The sequence below is a fragment of the Homo sapiens genome, chromosome 6 (assembly GCF_000001405.40).
Source record: "Homo sapiens chromosome 6, GRCh38.p14 Primary Assembly".
NCBI lineage: Eukaryota > Metazoa > Chordata > Mammalia > Primates > Hominidae > Homo > Homo sapiens.
Genome location: NC_000006.12, coordinates 169868045 through 169887974, shown reverse-complemented (window position 1 = coordinate 169887974; position 19930 = coordinate 169868045). Strand labels below are relative to the sequence as shown.

Genomic DNA, 19930 nt, shown 5'->3' with positions numbered 1-19930 from the left:
GTGCATCAGAGAGCCATGTGCGGAAAGAAACGAAGTCGGGAAGCGCCTGGCTGCAAGCACAGGTGGCCTCGCCCTTGGGAACCAGGTGGAGACACTCAGATGCTAGAATATTACTATCCTTTCTTCACTCTCTCCTCTGCCCTCCTATTCAGCCGGAGGAAGGAAAACCTAAATGCAAAGATCTACCTTGGCGAAGATCTGCTCAGTGTGAGTCACAGCCCTACGTGCCCAGCTTATGCAGAACATGTTTTCTTTAATTACATACGTGGTGAACACCACTGACTCTGGTATGTTCAAACACGTCTTGTGCCCACACCGCTCTCTAAGCAGTGCCAACTGACTCCAAACAGAAAACCCGGTGTTTCCCTCATAGAGCTCTGAATTCAGGGCCACTATGCCCTGCTTTCATGGAACTAGAATTGGACACTCTTCTGTAAACACATTCTATCCAATTGTCCTGAAAACGAGAGCACCTCTTCCCCAAAAGTCAGAAATAAAAGTGCATTCCTTCTTTTCAATGAAACAAAAGTCTGTTTCACAAAAAAAGGGCTGAAAATAAAGGCTTTCTCACATTGACATATGGCCAGATGACAGGAAGAAGTTTTCCAGTAAGATTCAGCGGGGAAGGGAGGCAAGATGCCTTGGTTCACATCTTGGTTTACATCTCTCCAGTACCTAGGTGTGTGCATCTGAGCCTCCATTTGTGCTCCTGCTCTGGGCCACACTTAGAGCAGTCTTGACATTAGAATTAATTTACTCAAAGCTTCATTTTGTCTCCTCGGATCATTCAGCTAAGAGTCCAAGGAGAGACGATCTTTTAGCTGTCCCCACGTGGGTCCTTCCTGACCTCAGCCAGGGAATGCAGGCCCCTTGGTCAACAGTACCACCAAGAGGTAACGAGGGCCATGCCACTCTTTCTAAAGGAGGGGGCAGAGGCGGCTGGCAACAAATGCTCTCAGCAGTTGTGACAGAGAAGGCGCTGCCCAGAAGCAGACAGGACTCAGGCAATGCCTCCCACTGCGTTTCAAGCTTTGCAGGAAATTGCGAGTCTTGGAAGACCTGCGACTGAGTGTAGGGTGAGCCTAGCAAAACTCTCTGGGACCACCAGGAGGAAGCACTTGGTCCCTGGAACAGAGGGCAGAGACCCCCAACAGTGCAGTAGGTGCTCCTGTGCACCTCCATCATGGTGGCCCGCCGCCCACCGGTGGACATGTGCATGTACACCGTGCACACCCCCAAAGCAGGCCGCGTTTGCCTGCAGAATCATCTGTTCCAATTGGGCTTATTATTGTCATTGCCTTATGTATCTAGATAAGCCTCATTGTGAGAAAATATGCATGTGAAAACAGAGGCATTATGTCCATGTAATCTAAGCTGAATGCTTTGAAAAGATACCATAAAGGAAATTCACTAAACATGTACACTGATTTAAGTGTGGATGAGACAGCTGTAAATAAATGGAAAATTCAAAAATCATTAAAATCAAGTGAGATTCTGCTTGAGTCATTTACATGTGTCAGCAAGGTTTTGCTACATCTAATTCCTTGGTTGACCTGGTCATTTCCAAATGGATTCATCTGGCCTTAATGGCTGAGGTAAATAGATGGTGAGGTGGTGAAATGGTTGAACAGTAGGAAAGATAGATGACTGGATTCAGTAATGAGCTAGTAAATTTTCAACAACCTGCTCTTTGAAAAGAATAGAGCCCTGACTTGTAGTATTTGCCAATTTCCATGGTGAAAATGATCCCATCATGGCCAATTTCAAGCCACCAACCTGAAGCCTCTGAACTTCTCTAGAGGGACTGGAGTTGGGAAGACATGTATACAGCCTGCCTGGAGAGCAGGGGCCGTGGATGTGGCACCCACAGCCAGATGAAGGGTGGGGTATGGACATGAGTTCTGGAGCAGCGTCACTTCAGGGCTGCACTGAAGGACCTCAGGTGATGACTGAAGGGCTCCAGCCCCTGGCAGCAGGACCACATCAGGTCTCCCCTGCATGCTGCGTCGCCTGGCTGGACCACATCAGGTCTCCCTTGCATGCTGCCTCTCCTGGCTGGCCACACAGTCTTTTCCCTCCCAGCAGAACATCAATATGGCTCCTTTCCCAAAGTTCTCATGCTCAAGGAGCATGATCAGAGAGGGGCCAGCTGTCACATGGACAATGCTGAACTAGACTCATCCACATGTACGTATGTCCTCCTGCCTCTCAGTTATTGATGAAGACATTCTATCATGGTCAATCCACTTTCCTCTGTAACCCATTGTGTAACAGATGTGTCTGAGCCTTACTTTGAACATTAACAAAGACAACTTAAGGACCCTGTTTTTCAGAGTCTAAGAGCCTAAAAATGACATGTAGCATATATAAGATCACTTAGTAAGTTGGACTTGAGACTAGGAAGGTGGTGTGGTTTCAATGTGTCCCTCAAAGTTCATGTGTTTGGAAATTTAATTCCCAGTGCAACAGTGTTGGAAGGTAGGGCTCAAGGGAGGTGTTTAGGCCATGAGAGCTCTGTCTTCATGAAGGGATTAATGTCATTATTGTGGGAGTAGGTTTGTTATAAAAGCAAGTTCAACCCTCCCTGCCCTCTCTCACTGTTGCCCTCTTTTGCCCTTCTGCTTTCCACCATGGGATGACACAGCACAAAGGCCCTCACCAGATGCTGGTACCATGCTGTTGGACTTCCCAGCCTCCATAACCATGAGTCAATATAAATTACTCAGTGCAGGTATTCTGCTACTGCAGCATAAATGGACCAAGACAGAACATTTTTGGTTTTTATCCACTTGGGTGGTTGGGGGTTATTCTTATGGGGGTTATTCTTTATTCCCAGAGATAAATGACATTAAAATAAACATGTACCTCAGAAATGGACAAACATTTTCTGGGAAGAAGCACCATTTACTTTCTTTTTATTTTTGAACATACTGGAATCTGAAATAGAAATGGTACTGAGGGACACAGTGGTGGCCCAAGGTGGGAGCAGAGCAGAGAGAGGAAGGGCAAGGAACACCACATTCTCTGCCGCAATCTCCTTCCTGTGAGGAACCCTGAGATAGTTTATACTGTGTCAACTTGATTGGATTGAAGGATACAAAGTATCAATCCTGGGTGTGTCTGTGAGGGTGTTAAAAAAAGGAGATTCACATTTGAGTGAGTGGGCTGGGAAAGACAGACCTACCCTTAATCTGGGTGGGCACAATCTAATCAACTGCCAGTGAGGTTAGACTATAAAGCAGGCAGGCAGAAAAATGTGAAAAGAGAGGCTGGCCTAGCCTCCCAGCCACATCCTTCTCCCGTGCTGGATGCTTCCTGCCCTTGAACAGCGAACTCCAAGTTCTTCAGTTTTGGAACTCAGACTGGCTCTCCTTTCTCTTCAGCCTGCAGATGGCCTATGGTGGGACCTTATGATTGTGTGAGTTAATACTTAATAAACTCCCCCTTACATGTGTGCGTGTGTATACACACATGTGACATATATATATTCCATTACTACTGTTCCTCTAGAGAACCCTGACTAATACAAACCCTGAACGTCACTCACTGGCACATGGGAAGTGGCCAAGGCTGAGGACACAGCAGCTTACCCAGGTGCTTCAGGGTCTCCCGGCAACATGGCCCACCAGATGAGTGCCCTCCTGTGTGGACAGCGGGACACACCCATCACACCCACCAGGCTGAGCTAACTCCCTCTCTAGCCACACAGAGAGGCCCCAGGTTCCCAAAGTCCATGCATCTTCAGCCTCTGAGATTAACAGTGCCACGGGTTGATCTCCTAGCTTATCGCAGTAGCCATTTGCAACAGCACAGTGTATACAGAAGTGTTGATCTTGAGATTTTTGCCTTCAGATTTTACTGTACTGTAATCAATAACTTGTTGTGTATAATTAAGACAAATACATAATGGCCTTGTGTTTATGAAGTCAATATATAGCTTGTAGGAAATTCCTTGGTATTGTTTGTATGCTGTATAAATATTTTAAGATTCTGCCAGTAACAGGAGTTTCTGTGTATATTATACAGAGTTCTCTTTTATCCGGTTTGAAGAAGTAGTATGAAGGAGCGGATGCAAATTGTCCAAACAAACATTTGTTTCTCCCTCCAGCTGGGCAGATTGTTATGACTGCCTTCTGGGGGACCCTGGTGGTCCCAGCATTCATTCACAGGTAACGTACTACTGGGTTGAAATTGAGTTGGAGTGGGTGGGTGAGTGTGAAGTGGTGCTGTGTGGTATTGTGTGTTGCTGTGGTGCTATGTGGTGTGGCGTGGTGTGGTGTGGTATTGTGAGGTGAGGTGTGGTGTGGTGAGATGTGGCATTGTGAGATGAGGTGTGTGTTATGTGGTAAGGTTTGGTGTTGTGCAGAGTGACTGTGGAGCAGCTGCGTGAAAGTAAAAGGCCAGGCTGGCACCATGGAAAGATCCGAAGTCCGGGTGGACACACGGCACACTGAACAGGGACGCCAGGGGTCGCAGGGACCAAAGGGCTGCTACTGGTGACCAAACCCCCCGAACCTGCCTGAGAGCCAGCCTTTGCCTGCAGGGAGGCCAGTCACAACTTCAGTTCTCTGAGAGATCTCGTCCTTATCCCCTCATAACCCAGAGGACACTGAAGTCTCACCTCACCAACTCACAGTCTTCGACTTATCTGGAAAAAGAAGGTGGGCAGAGGTGATGACTGGCCTGGGTGTGAGCCTCTCATGCCAGGGGGACTTCAGCAAGACCCAAGACAGGAAAATCCTCCTCTCTCCTGGATGTGGCCAGATGCACAGTGGAAGCCAAGCCTCCCCCTGCCTTCCTCCATCTGCAAAGATTTATAGAGCACCTGCTGGGTGCCAGGCGCTGGGCTCAGGCTGGACACAGGCAACCTCAATACAGCTGAAAGCCTTAGATGCTTTCCTAGGACTGGCCACACACATCAGAGAGAACCAGGGTGGGGAAGGTGCCTTTGTGGAAAGGTGGGATTTGACTGCACAGATGAAATGGTTGGAGGGAGACCTCACTGCTTCTGCCCAGAATGGAGAGTGTATGAAAGTCCACAGAAAATCAACTCTGATCCAAATGGAATCACAGCAGTGGAAACATTCACTAAGGAGGAGGGAGAGGAGTTTCCACCCTCTGCTTTCTTGCCAGCAGCTACCATAAAATAAAAGGCTTCATTAGAAGACACAGTGTGGGCAACACTGTACACAGCTCCTCCTGGCTCAGGAGCCCGGGAAGCACGGTGGATCAGATGAATGCTTCCAATGTTGTCTGCCCGCAAGGTGTCCACAGGCATGGAGGATGGAAGGGCAGCTACTGGTAAACCTGATTATGTGGACAGTTAATTGGCCTTTATGCTACTGTGGTAATTAACCTCTTTTTCTCTAAACAAATGTGAAAAGAAACAAGTTATCAAACACATTATTTGTTTCTAGGTCTTTCAGGGTCCATACCTCAAACGTGCACCACTCCCAGGTGGGACCAGCAGCCGGATGAATAAAGGGCCCTTGAGGCCTTGGTGGGATAAGTGACCTCCAAAGCCTGATAGCTCTACTCAGACCTTGTAGCACGAGCCTTTGAGGGACCTTAGAGGGGATGTGGCCATGGCTGGGAAGAAATCCCAGCCATTTTTAAAGTCCTCCCTGAACCCTGACACTTACCCAAAGTCTGAGGTCCGGACCGGAACGGACTGTTCTCCCTTTAGTCCTAACCTCTGTGAGTGCAGGAACTCCAGCACTCTCACGGGCCACCGCCCTCCCGTTGTCCAGCATGGTGCCCAGCCATCACAGGTGACCAGGAAGATGTGTCAGGCACTGTTCTGCGCCCATATAGCAGGAACAGGCAGAACTCCTGCCCCCGTGAGCTTAAATTCTAGTAGAACACAGCGACAGGTGGACTGCCCTCATCTGAGCTTGGTCTCTGCATCAGACTTCAGCACCTCCCCGAGCCCTGTGTTCTAAAACGCCGTTTCATTAAGTCTGCTTCCTTTCATTGTCATTTCTCAAGCTCTGAACGTCAAGACCATTTCAAAAGTTTCTCTCTCACCACTAAATAATTGTTTGTGTTCTACCAGAAAAGCCCATATATGTTATCTTCTGGAATGGATTCCTTCATTAAGGGCTTCTAAATACACAGCGTGAGAGCCCTGCATATGTGAAACAATGACCATTTCCAACTGCAGAAAGAAGACAGAAACGGGGTTGGGACCCTGGAGAAGCTGAGAGGAAGCTGTGGAGGAGAGATCGAGGCATGTGCAGGCAGCAGCGGGGGATGCAGGGCTCACCAGAGCTCAATGGCATGGGGGTCGGGGCATGGACTCTGGCCCCAGACAGGCTGGAAAGGTGACAGCTGGTCTGTGCCTCAGTTTTTCCACCTGTAAAATAGGGATGCTAAAGCTGCTTACCTCATGGGACTCTCCTGAGGATTAAATGAGTACGTTTGAGGAAAGTACACGGGCAAGTGCCTGGATGCAGGACTCGTGCACGGAACACTCCGCAAGGGCCAGCTGCTGCTTTGAGATACTCCAGGCAAAGCGGCTTCTGAATAGCAGCCATGGCTTGGTTGTGTATGTCTGTGTGACAAACAGGAGCAGAAAGAGAACAGAAGAACATCTATGAATGAAATTTCAGTTAACGATAAAAATCACTTACAAATTTCCTTTAAAATCCAGCTCTCCCCTACTCAGATGCTGAAGAAGTTGTATGAACTTCCGTTTCTTGCAAGGTGTACCACATCATTAGCTAAAAGGGGAACATGAGATTAAAGTTAAGCCTTCCAAATACAAAGAAAGGGATTTTTCTTTCCAGGGGAGAAAATTAAAAGGAAAATTGAGCCTGACCTCGGTAATAACATATTGCAGTGTTCTGTGTCCTGCCCCGGGGCACACCTCAGGGGGTGCCACCACCAGGCCCTTTGCTCCTCCAGGACTAAAGGCCAGGTGAGGTCTTGCTGGTGGTCTGGTTGTTCAGGGAAGGTTTCCACAGCTGGGGCTCCTTCCAAAAGTGCCTGGAGAAATTCCTTTCACCCCTTTTCAGGAATCAGAATCAGCTCAAGAAAAGCCAGGGGCCCTGGCATATGGAACAGCCCAGGAAGAAAATCAGCCATGAGATCGCTTAGGTCTTTTCCATGGGCTGAGATGTTAGTGGTTTGAACAAATAGTCATTCACGATTTGCAGCCCAGGCCACTGGAAACAGCTGCAGGGTCTCTTCTGGTGGGGCTGGGCCTAAGGGGAAGCAGGCATCTAACCTGGGACCGCTGCCTGAGCACAGATGACTCCCAGGGCTGGAGCTCAGGAACAAGAGGTGTGGAGTCTGGCCTCAGGTAGAATGAGGAGCAGCCAGTTACTGACAAAGACCCCAGGCTCACAGGCACAATGTCCAGAAGCAGGGGAGGCTGTGCCAGTGCATCCACCTGGCTCCTGCAGAGCACTAAGGAGACAAAATCAACGTACGTGAAAATGAGTTTAGCAAAATCCGGTGGTCAGCAAGAGGACCACCAGGTGTGGGTGATGTATGGCTCTTTAGAGGTGGCCCAGGCACAGATTGAGAGTAACAGAACTGGCTTCCAACCAACGCCCATGGTTCAGCAGCAGATGAGTCTCCTCCTTACCAGTACTACTTGGGAAGGCACTCACCCTTCTAATGATGCTCCCTGTATTTAGAGGTTGGGAATTTCCTTTTCCGTATGGCCTTCAGAGCCTGCAAGCTGTTCTTGGCACTTTCAGAGGAGACACATCTTCATTTTATTAGGACAGATCTCATTCGGGATACAACCAAGAGTTAAATGGGATCAAGCCCAGAGAACAGCAAATGATAAGACAGGGTAATGGCATTTGAAGCCAAAAGTGAGATGAGACCATAAATGATTGAAAATTATATGTTTTATGGTCCATTATTAACCAGCAATTCTAAAACAGCACTCCAAAAATGTACAAGCAAAGCTAGCCTCACTGGCATAAGTGCAATGCCTTCCAAAGCAGCCTGTGTAAAGGAACTGTACTAATTTAATTCCCCCCAAAGTTCAGGCATGTTTTTTGAAATTCAGCCTCATTATCTCAGTCTTGTCTCATAAGGCCCGTTCTTCTTGGACTTGAAAGGTATTTGATTAGGTTGACAGGATCAGACTCATAGATCTGAAGCAGTTGATCCCAGATGGCAAATCCTCAGCACACATACCACTGCCTGGCCCACTCACACCCATGGCAGACATTGCTAATCGATTGTGACATCTCTTCTCACCAGAGGATCCCAGATGGCACTGCCAACTTATGGAAGCTGGGACAATAGAGTGCATTTGCTATCCCTGGAGGAAAAGCTTAAATAACCTGTGTAAAAGGACTTCCAGTTCCAAGATGGCAGCATAGAAACAAGCTGGATTCACTCATCCCCAAACACGCAAAGCCTAAAACAAATATACAGTGCTGAGATTATCACCAGAAATATCCCAGAAATCAAATACAAAGATAAAACCATTCCTGGGGCCACCAAGAAGTGAAAAAACTGAGCAGATGGTAAGAGAATTGGACTTCACATCCATGACACCCCTCTTCCTATTCTGCCCAGTACCAAGCACATGAAAAAGTTCCCCCATCTCACTGTTTCTGCATTGGAAAAGGTGAAATTGATGTAGACAAATAGCTTCCCCACCATCTTGGGTTCCCTGGCAGGAGATCTGTCCCTCTCTTAACCCACAGGAAGCATCATGAGTGCCTGAAGGGAGAAATATCCCTAAGGACAGAGACAAAGGAGACAAGCAGGATTCCCACACCCAGCCCTAGAAACTCTGCTCTGTAACTCAGCCCCGGAAACTCTGTTCTGTAATTCAGCCACAGGAGACGCCAAACGAGAGTGGCTGTTCAGCAGCACGAGGCTATAGGAAGTTTGTCCCACAAGTCTCCTGGGCACAAACTCCTAAGCCAGCCTTCCCACACTGCTGGGATATGCCAATCAGGACCTCCCCCATCTGGGAACAGCAATGTTCTGATCCTTTGCTAGAGCTGAGGCAAAACTGGGTTTAAGGCACCTCTTGAAGCCATAAGGGAGGCAGTAGTTTAGTGGTAAGGAACCTCTAAGCAAATATATTCAATTAAAACAAAATAAAGCTGGGCAGAGAAGACTGGAATAAATAACCAGTCCTTCAATGCAAAGACATAGATGTTCACCCACAAGAAACAACAGTAAACGAGGAGCCATGATCTCCCCAAATGGACAAAACAAAGACAAAACAAAAGAAAAGAAACAAAAACTGACCCTAATGAGAGATCCATATGCCAGCTTTCTGACCAAAAATTCAAAAGAGTAGTTTTAAGGAAATTCAGTCATCTCCAAGATAATACCGAAAAGAAATTAAAAATTTTATGAGTAATTTAACAAAGAGATTCAAATTTTAAAAAAAACAGAAATCTTGGAACTGAGAAACACATTTGCTGAACTAAAAAAAATTAGTCTCTTAATAGCAGAATGAACTAAGCAGAGGAAAGAATCAGTAAGCTGGAAGACTATTTGAAAATACATGAAGGAGAAAACAAGATAAAAATAAATAAAGATCTCCTACAAGATATAGCAAATTACCTCAAAAGACCAAATCTAATAATTATTGGTGTTCAAGAGGGGGTTGAGCAAAAGCAAGGGGTAGAAACTTAGTTGAATAAATAATAACAGAAAATTTTCCACAACTCGAGAAAGACATAAGTATTCAGGTACAGGAAGGTCAGAGAACACCAAACAGATTTAACCCAAATAAGATTTCCCTAAGGCATACAATAATCAAACTCTCAAAGTTCAAGGACAAAGGGAATTCTAATACCAGCAAGAGAAAAGAAGCAAATAATATATAAAGGAGTTCCAATTCATTTGTCAATAACATTCTCAACAGAAACCATTCAGAACTAGATGGAGTGCAATGACATTTTCAAAGTGCTGAAAGAGAAAACACTTCCATACAAGAATACTCTATATAGCAAAGTTATCCTTCAGGTACGAAGGAGAGATAAAGACTTTCCCAAACAAAAGCTGAGAGAATTCACTAGCACCAGGCCAGACTTACAAGAAATGCTAAAGAGAGTTTTTCAATTTGAATGAAAAAAAAAAACACTAATAGGAAAAGAACTGAAGATAGAAAACCCACTGGTAAGATTAAGTACATGGACAAACCCAGAACTCTAATACAGTAACTGTTGTGTGAAATCCACTCATAACCCTAGTATGAAGCTCAAAAGACAAATCTATCAAAAACAACAATAGCTACAGCAAACTGTGAAGAGACAAGCAGTATAAAAATATGTAAGTTGAGACAACTAAAAGCCAGATGGGGAGGGGGTAGACCTAAAATGTAGACCTTTTCATTTTTTGTTTGTTTCTATTATTTTCCTTGTGATTTAAGATAAGTTGTCATCTCTTTAAAATAACTTGTCATCTCTTTAAAATAACTGTAAGATGTTTTGTGTAAGCCTCATGAAAACCATAATGCAAAAACCTATAATAGATTCACTAAAAATAAATAACAAATTAAAACATCCTACCAGTGAAAACCATTTAACTAAAAAGGAAGACGGAAGAAGGGAAGAGAGGAGCTACAAAATAACCAGAAAACAAGCAACAAAATGGCAGTAGTAAGTCCTTACTTATCAACAATGACACTGAATGTAAATGGACTGAATACTCCAGTTACAAGGCACAGAGTGGCTGAATGGATAAAGAAATAAGACCCAACTATATGTTTGGGCATTTTGTTTGTTTGGTTGGTTCTGAGACAGGGTCTCTATCACCCAGTCTGGAGTACAATGGTGTGACCACAGCTCACTGCAGCCTCAACCTCCCAGGCTCAGGTGATCGTCCCATCTCAGTCTGCCACATAGCTGGGACTATGGGTGCACATCACCATGCCCAGATAATTTTTGTATTTTTTGTAGATACAGCGTTTCATCATGTTGCCCAGGCTGGTCTCAAACCAACTATATATTGCTTATAAGAAACCCATTTCATCTATAAAGGCACACACAGACTGAAAGTGAAGGTATGGAAAAAGATACTCCATGCAACTAGAAACCAAAAACAAGAAAAGCAAGATAGCTACATTTATATCAGATAAAACAGACTACAAATCAAAACCTATAAAAAGAGACAGAGAAGGTAAATATGTAATGATAAAGAAGTCAATTCAGCAAGAGGACATAATGATTATAAATATCTATGCATCTAACACCAGAACTCCCAAGTATGTAAAGCAAACAGTAATAGATCTAAAGGGAGAGATAGATGACATTACAATAATGGTAGGGTACTTCAATGCCCCACTCTCAGTAATGCACAGATCATCCAAACAGAAAATCAAAAAGGAACCATCAGAGTTAAACTACACTCTAGACCTAATAGGCTTCACTGACATTTACAGAACATTTCAGCCAACTGTTACAGAATACACATTCTTTTCATCAGAACATAAAACATTCTCCAGGATAAACCATAACTTAGATCACAAAAGAAGTCTGAACAGAGTAGAAATCATATCAAGTATTTTTTTCTGATCACAATGGAATAAAACTAGAAATCAATAGCAAGAAGAACCTCAGCAATGTCACAAACTCATGGAAATTAAGCAACAAGCTTCTGAACAACAAATGGATCAATGAGGAAATTAAGAAGAAAGCTTAAAAATTCCTTGAAACAAGTGCCAATGGAAATATAACATATCTAAATCTATGGGATGCAACACAAGCAGTGCTAAGGGGGACATTTATAGCAATAAACACCTACATCACAAAAGTAGAAAGACTTCAAGTAAACAGCCTGACAATGGGCCTTAAGGAACGAGAAAAGCAAGAACAAAGCCAACCCAAAGTTAGTAGAAGGAAAGAAAAAAATAAAGATTACAGCAGAAGTAAATTGAGACTAAAAAAAAAATAGAGAAGATCAATGAAACAAAAAGATGGTTATTTGAAAAGATAAACAAAATCAACAAAATTTTGTCTAGGCTAAGAAAAAGAGAGAAAATCCAAATAAATAACATCAGAAATGAAAAAGGAGACATAAAAACTGAGACCACAGAAATAAAAGCTATCATTAGACACTACCGTGAACAATTATATGTCAAGTAATTAGAAGACCTAGAAGTGGATAACTTTATGGACACATACAACCTACCAAGATTGAACCATGTAAAAGGTATAAAATCTCAATAAACCCATAATGAGTAACAAGATTGAAGCCATAATAAAAAGTCTCCTATGAAAGAAAAGCTCAGGACCTGATGGCTTCACTGCTGAGTTTTACCAAACACTTAAAGGAGAAAGAAATTGAAGAGGACATCAAAAAATAGAAAGATATCCAATGTTCATGGATTGGAAGAATTGATATTATTAAAATGTCCATACTACCCAAAGCAATCTACAAATTCAATGTAATTTCTATCAAAGTACCGATGACATTCCTCAGAAATAGAAAAAACAATCCTAAAATTTATATGGAACCACAAAAGACCCAGAAGAGCCAAACCTATCTGAAGCAAAAGAACACAACTGCAGGAATCATAATACTTGACTTCAAATTATACTACAGAGCTATGGTTACCAAAGCAGTGTGCTACTGGCATAAAAACAGACACATAGACCAATGGAGCAGAATAGAGAACCCAAAAACAAATCCAACACCTAGAGTGAACTAATTTTCAACAAAGGTGGCAAGAACATACATTGGGGAAAAAACAGTCTCTTCAATAAATAGTGCTGGGAAAACAGGCTATCCATACGTTAAAAAGTGAAACTCGACCCCTATCTCTTGCCATATACAAAAATCAAATCAAAATGGATCAAAGGCTTAAATCCAAGACCTGAAACTAGGAAACTACTAAAATAAAACATTGTGAAAATGGTATAGGACATTGGTCTGGGCAAAGATTTTTTGGGTAAGGTCTAAAAAGCATAGGCAGCCAAAGCAAAAATAGACAAGTGGTATCACATCAAGCTAAAAAGCTTCCGCACAGCAAAGGAAATAATCAACAAAGTGAAGAGACACCTATAGAATGGGAGAAAACATTTGAAAATTACCCATCTGACAAGGGATTAATAACCAGCATATATAAGGAGCTCAAACAACTCTACAGGGAAAAAAATCTAACAATCCAATCAAAAAATGGGCAAAAGATTTGAATAGATATTTCTCAAAAGAAGACATACAAATGCCAGGCTGGGCGTGGTGGCTCACGCCTGTAATGCCAGCACTTTAGGAGGCCAAGGTGGGTGGATCACAAGGTCAGGAGATCGAGACCATCCTGGCTAACATGGCAAAACCCCGTCTCTACTAAAAATACAAAAAATTAGCTGGGCGTGGTGGCAGGCGCCTGTAGTCCCAGCTACTCAGGAGGCTGAGGCAGGAGAATGGCATGAACCTGGGAGGCAGAGTTTGCAGTGAGCCAAGATTGCGCCACTGCACTCCAGCCTAGGCAACAGAGCAAGACTCCGTCTCAAAAAAAAAAGACATACAAATGCCAAACAGGCACACGAAAAGATGATCAACATCATTGATATCAGAGAAATGCAAATCAAAACTGCAATGAGATACTGTCTCACCCCAGTTAAAATGGCTATGTCCAAAAGACAGGCAATAACAAATGCTGGCAAGGATGTGGAGAAAAGGGAACCCTCGTATACTGTTGGTGGTAATGTAAATTAGTACAACCACTATGGAGAACAGTTTGTAGGTTCCTCAAAATAACTGAAAATAGAGCTATAACATGACCCAGCAATCCCACTGTTGTGTGTGTACCTAAAAGAAAGGAAATCAGTACATTGAAGAGATATCTGCACTCTCATATTTGCTGAAGCACTGTTCACAATAGCCAAGATTTGGAAGCCACCTAAGTGTCCGTCAACAGATGAATGGATAAAGAAAATATGGTACATATACACAAAGGAATACTCTTCAGCCATAAAAAAAGAATGAGAGCCTGTCATTTGCAACAACATGGTCACAACTGGAAATCATTATCTTATGTTAAATAAACCAGGCACAGAAAGACAAACGTCTCATGTTCTCATTTATTTCTTGGATCTAAAAGTCAAAACAATTGAACTCATGGAGATAGAGAGTAGAAAAATGGTTACCAGTGGCTGAGAAGGGTAGTGGGGAGGTGTGTGGGGGTGGGAGGTAGATGGGGATGGTTAATGGGTACAAAAAATAGCTAGAAAGAATGAGTAAGACCTACTATTTGATAGCACCACACTCTGACTATAGTGAATAATAATTTAATTGTACATTTTAAAATAACTAAAAGAATATAATTGGATAGTTTGTAACATAAAGGATAAATGCTTCAGGAGGTAGATACCCCATTTTCCCTGATGTGATTATTACACATTGCATGCCTGTATCAAAACATCTCATGTACCCCATAAATATATACATCTACTATGTGCCCACAAATTTTTTTTTGAAAAAGGACTAATGTCAATTTCACCCCAACTCTTCAATAAGACTGAAGAGAAGGGCACACTTCCAAACTCATTCTGCAAGGGCGGCATTACCCTGATACTAAAACCAGACAAGGAAACAATAAGACAAAATTATAGGCAAATATCACTGATGAATATAGATGCAAAAGTTCCCAACAAAACACTAGCTAACTGAATTTAACAATACATTAAAAAGATCATTCACCATAAACAATTGTGATTCATCCTAGGGATGCAATAATGGTTCAACGTATGCAAGTCAATAAACATGATACATCACATTAGCAGAACCAAGACCAAAACCATATAATCATTTCAATAAATGTCAAAAAACATCTAATAAAATTCAACATCCCTCTATGATGAAAACCCTAATCAAATTGGATATAGAAGGAACGTACCTCAAAATCTTAAAGTCCATAAATGAAAACCCACAGCTAACATCATGACGAACAGGGAAAAGTTGAAAGCCTTTTCCCTAAGATCTGGAACAATGCAAGGATTCCCATTTTTACTACTCTTATTCAACATAGTACTGGAAATCCTGGCCAGAGCAATCAGGCAAGAGAAAGAAAGGGAATCCAGTTTGGAAAGGAAAACAGTCAAATTACCCTTGTTTGCAGACGACATGATTTTATACCTAGAGAAACCTAGGCTCCACCAAAAAAAAACTGTTATAACTGATAAGTGAATTCAGTAAAGTTGTGGGTTACAAAATCAACATACAAAAGTCAGTAGTATTTATTTACATCAATAGTGAAAAATCAGAAAAGGAAACCAAGAAAGTAATGCTGTTTACAATAGCTACAAAGAATATAAAATACCTAGGAATCAATTTAACCAAAGAAGTGAAAGACCTATAAAAAGAAAGCTGTAAAACACTGATGAGAGAAATTGAAGAGGACATCAAAAAGTGGAAAGATAGTCCATGCTCATGGATTATCTGAAATTATCCAGGACTATGGAAGAATTAATATTCTTAAGATGACAACACTGCCCAAGGCAATTTACAGATTCAATGCAATTCCTATCAGAATACCAATGACATTCTTCACGGAAATGGAAAATAGACCCTAAAACGTATATGGAACCACAAAAGATTCTGAATCGCCAAAGCAATCCTGAGCACAAAGAACAAAGCTGGAGGCATCACACTGCCTGACTTCAAAATTTACTGCAAAGCTATTGTAACTGAGTCAGCGTGGTACCAGCATGAAAACAGACACATTGACCAATAGAACAGAATAGAGAACCCAGATATAAATTCGTGCATTTGCAGCCAACTGATTTTCAGCAAGGGCACCAAGAACACACAATGGGGGAAGGATTGTCTCTTCAGTAAGTGGTGCTGGGAAAACTGGATAATTATATGCAAAAGAAACTAGGCCTCTGTCTCTCACCACACACACAAGTCAAATCAAAATGGACTGAAGACTTAAATCTAAGACCTGAAACTATGAAATGACTACAAGAAAACATGGGGGACATGCTATATAACATTGGTCTGGGCAAAGATTTTTGGGGTAAGATTTCAAAAGCACAAAGAACCAAAGCAAAAATGGACAAATGTTGGGAGGCCAAGGTGGGCGGATCACCTGAGGTTAGGAGTTCGAGACCAGCCTGGCCAATATGGCGAAACCCTGTGTCTACTAAAAATACAAAAATTAGCCGGGTGTGGTGCAGGGCACCTGTAATTCCACCTACTCGGGAGGCTGAGGCAGGAGAATCGCTTGAGCCCAGGAGTCAGTGGTTGCAGTAAGCTGAGATCACACCATTGCACTCCAGCCTGGGCAACTGAGCGAAACTCCATCTCAAAAAAAAAAAAAAAAAAAAAAAGAAAAAAAAGACAAATGGGATCACATCAAGCTTCTGCACAGCAAAGGAAACAATCAACAAAGTGAAGACAAAGGGTGACCACAGAGTGGGAGAAAATATTTGGAAACTGCTCACCTGGCAAGGGATTAACAACCCCAATATATAAGGAGCTCAAACAACTCTATAGGAAAAAAAATCCAATAATTTGATTTTTAAAAATGGGCCAAAGATCTGAATAGATATTTCTCAAGAAATGTCTATTTCTTGACATTTGACATGACAAACAAATGGCCAGCAGGTATATGAAATAATGCTCAACATCACTAATTATCATGGGAATGCAAATCAAAACTGGAATGAGGTACCATCTCACCCCAGTTAAAATTGATTTTATTAAAAACAGTATCAAATACTGGCAAGAGAAAAGGGAACCTCAGACACTGTGGGCGGGCATGTAGGTTAGTGCAGCCCCCATGGAGAACAGTGTGGAGGTTCCCAAAAAACCAGAAATAGAACTACCATACAACCCATCTACTCCACTACTGAGTGTACGCCCGAAAGAAAGGACATCAGGATGTTGAGGAGATCTCTGCACTCCCATGTTTACTGCAGCACTATCCATAGTAGCCAAAATAGAGAATCAACCTAAGTGCTCACCAGCAGATGAATGGAAGAGGAAAACGGGGCACATATACACAGTGGAATATGGTTCAGTCAGAGAAGGGAATGAGATCCTGTTGTTTTTAGCAACAAGGATGGAACTGGAGGCCACTACGTTAAGTGAAACAAGCCAGGCTCAGAAAGACAGATCTCACCTCAGGAGCTATAACAGTGGACCTCATGAAGATAGAAAGTAGATTGGTGGCTACCAGAGACCAGGAAGGGCAAGGGGTGTAGGAATGAAGAGAAGCTGATTAGTGGATACAAATGTACAGTTTGAAAGAAGAAATAAGACCTAGTTTTTTCATAGATTTACTATAGATTACAATAATCTATTGTATATTTCAAAATAGCTTGAAGAGAAGAATTTTAATGGTTCTAGCAATAACGAAAAGACAAATGTTTAAGGTGGTGGATGTCCCAAGTGCACTGGTTTGATCTTTACAAAATATGTGAATGCATTAAATTATCACATTTAGCCTGAAACCATGTACATCTATAGTACATCAAATACATAAATAAAGTGATGAAACACCTGAATAAATGATGAAACACTGGGATCTTATGTAGAACAAAATAACATTGTTAGTATGGCAACTTTACATGCAATAAGTTTTAAATTTAATTTAATTCTAAGGCCAGGCACAGTGGCCATGCCTGTAATCCCAGCATTTTGGGAGGCTGAGGCAGGAGAATCACTTGAGGCCAGGAGCTTGAGACCAGCCTGGGCAATGTAGGGAGACCCTGTCTCTACAAAAAATAAAAATAAAAAAATTAGCTGGGTGTGGTGGCATGTGCCCATAGTCTCAGCTACTTGGGAGGCTGAGGCAGAAGGATTACTTGAGCCCAGGAGGTTGAGGGTGAAGTGAGCTCTGATCACACCATTGCACTCCAGCCTTGGTGACAGAATGAGAACCTGTCTCTTAAAAAAATGTTTATAAAAGTATAGATAAAACAATTTAGAAAAATACAAAGATTTGCATTATCAAATATAAAATACATATTACAGAGCCATAAAAATAAAAAGAGTGGTATTTTTACAGAAATCAACAATAAACAAAAACCAATGCAATAAAGTAGAACCTCCAGAAGCAGATCTGTGGCCATTACACAGACAGCCCCACGAACACAGCAGAAAGGATGAATGCGGCAAACATAGCTGGGAAAGCACTATTTTGGATCATAGAGACTTGAAATCTCTTTTTTTTTTTTGAGATGGAGTCTCACTCTGTTGCCCAGTCTAGAGTGCAATGGCGCATTCTCGGTTGACTGCAAGCTCTGCCTCCGGGGTTCGAGCCATTCTCCTGCCTCAGCCTCCCGAGTAACTGGGACTACAGGCGCCCGCCACCATGCCTGGCTAATTTTTGTATTTTTAGTAGAGACAGGGTTTCACCATACTGGCCAGGCTGGTCTCAAACTCCTGACTTTGTGATCCACCCGCCTTGGCATCCCACAGTGCTGGAATTATAGGCATGAGCCACCACACCCATCCGAGACTTGAAATCTTTTAAAGCCCCATGTCTGCGGCGTCTCTGTTGAAAAATCCTTTTCCACTGCCTGGGTAGACAGCTGAGCCTCACACGGGGCCTGTGTTAATATCTTGGGTCACACCACAGCCTGGAAGTGACTGCCTCCCGCCAGCCGTGCCTCTCCAGGGCCCCAGGAAGATGTCCATGGAGCTTCCCGGGCAGCCCCCCTCCGTTTCCCGTGGGGAAGAGCGAGGAGACATGGGCTTCACCTTCCCTCTGGTCTGAATAAATTTAATAATAAATTTATCCCACAGCCATAACATTTTCCACCATCCAGAACCAATGTTTATATCACTGAATATGGCAACCTTGGAGTTGGAGATAAATGCTTATAAATGCTTATAGGCCGGGCGCATAGCTCACACCTGTAATCCCAACACTTTGGGAAGCCAAGGGGGGGATCACAAGGTCAAGATATCGAGACCATCCTGGCCAACATGGTGAAACCCCATCTCTACTAAAAATACAAAAATTAGCTGGGCGTGGTGGCACACACCTGTAGTCCCAGCTGCTCGGGAGGCTGAAGCAGGAGAATTGCTTGAACCCGGGAGGTGGAGGTTGCAGCGAGCCAAGATCCCACCACTGCACTCCAGTCTGGCGACAGAGGGAGACTCTGTCTCAAAAATAAATAAATTAATTAATTAATTAATTAATTAATTAATACTTACAATAAAGTTATTCTTTCCTTGCTTAAAAAAAAAATAGCCTGCATGAAGGAGAGGCAGGTAAGACAGACCAGGCCACAAGAAGCCCTCGTGATTCACCCTCACCATGGAAATCCCTCGCAGGCCGTGCAGCGGGACGGAACACACTGCTCCTTCTGTGGGACGCACCCTGCCGTGGGGCGGTTCGCACGTGGTTTCCTGCCCAGAGCCACCCCTTACGCGCGGCAGCTGCAGCTGCTTTCAGGCTACAGCTGCAGAGCTGCATGGCGGGGGTGGAGGCCGTAGGGCCCCGAAGCCGGAAATCTGTAGTCCCTGGTCCTTCACGGGAAACTGTTTTCTAGACCAGGGCGGAAAGAGCCAGACTCCTTCATGAGGACACTTTTTAACCTCAAGCACTAAAGTTTCATCTTCACATAGGGGTGAGAAGGTGCAAACACACACATGATTTATTCCTATAATGCACGATTCCAGAGAAAACGTGCCCCCTGCTCACACCCTCTCATGCTGGCACACCACACTCCAGCGCTGCCTGTAGCTTGTCACATAAAACCTCTGAGCAAGTTTGTTTGCCAATGGGAATAAAAGCAGAATGTTTCCAAAAGAGGCTGAAATGGTCATAACCAGGTGTCCAAGTGGTCAACTGACCCTACAACACACTGACCACGATGCCCCATGGCGGGGAAGACGCCTGATATTTCACAGAGCTCCATGCTGTTCCCACACACACACCAGCTCACCTGGTTGCCAGAACCCTCCGAGGTCACAGGAGGGGCTGTCCCAACTTTAAACATCAGACCAAGATTAAAGAACTTCAGGATGAGGCATGGGGGAG

The 19930-nt window shown here is 43.3% G+C and overlaps 1 non-coding gene across 2 annotated transcripts in view; it reads right to left on the bottom strand.

Moving 5' to 3' along the window:
• The window catches only part of LOC105378149 (zinc finger protein 227-like), a 35996-nt gene extending 16761 nt beyond the window's left edge, over positions 1-19235 (bottom strand). For both annotated transcript variants that reach the window (XR_007059895.1, XR_001744480.1), the window contains exons 1-2: positions 19102-19235; positions 6386-6553 (exon numbers count right to left, since the gene is read on the bottom strand). This is a non-coding gene — a transcript (zinc finger protein 227-like). The remainder of the gene's footprint in view (positions 1-6385; positions 6554-19101) is intronic.
• Positions 19236-19930: the final 695 nt, after the last annotated feature.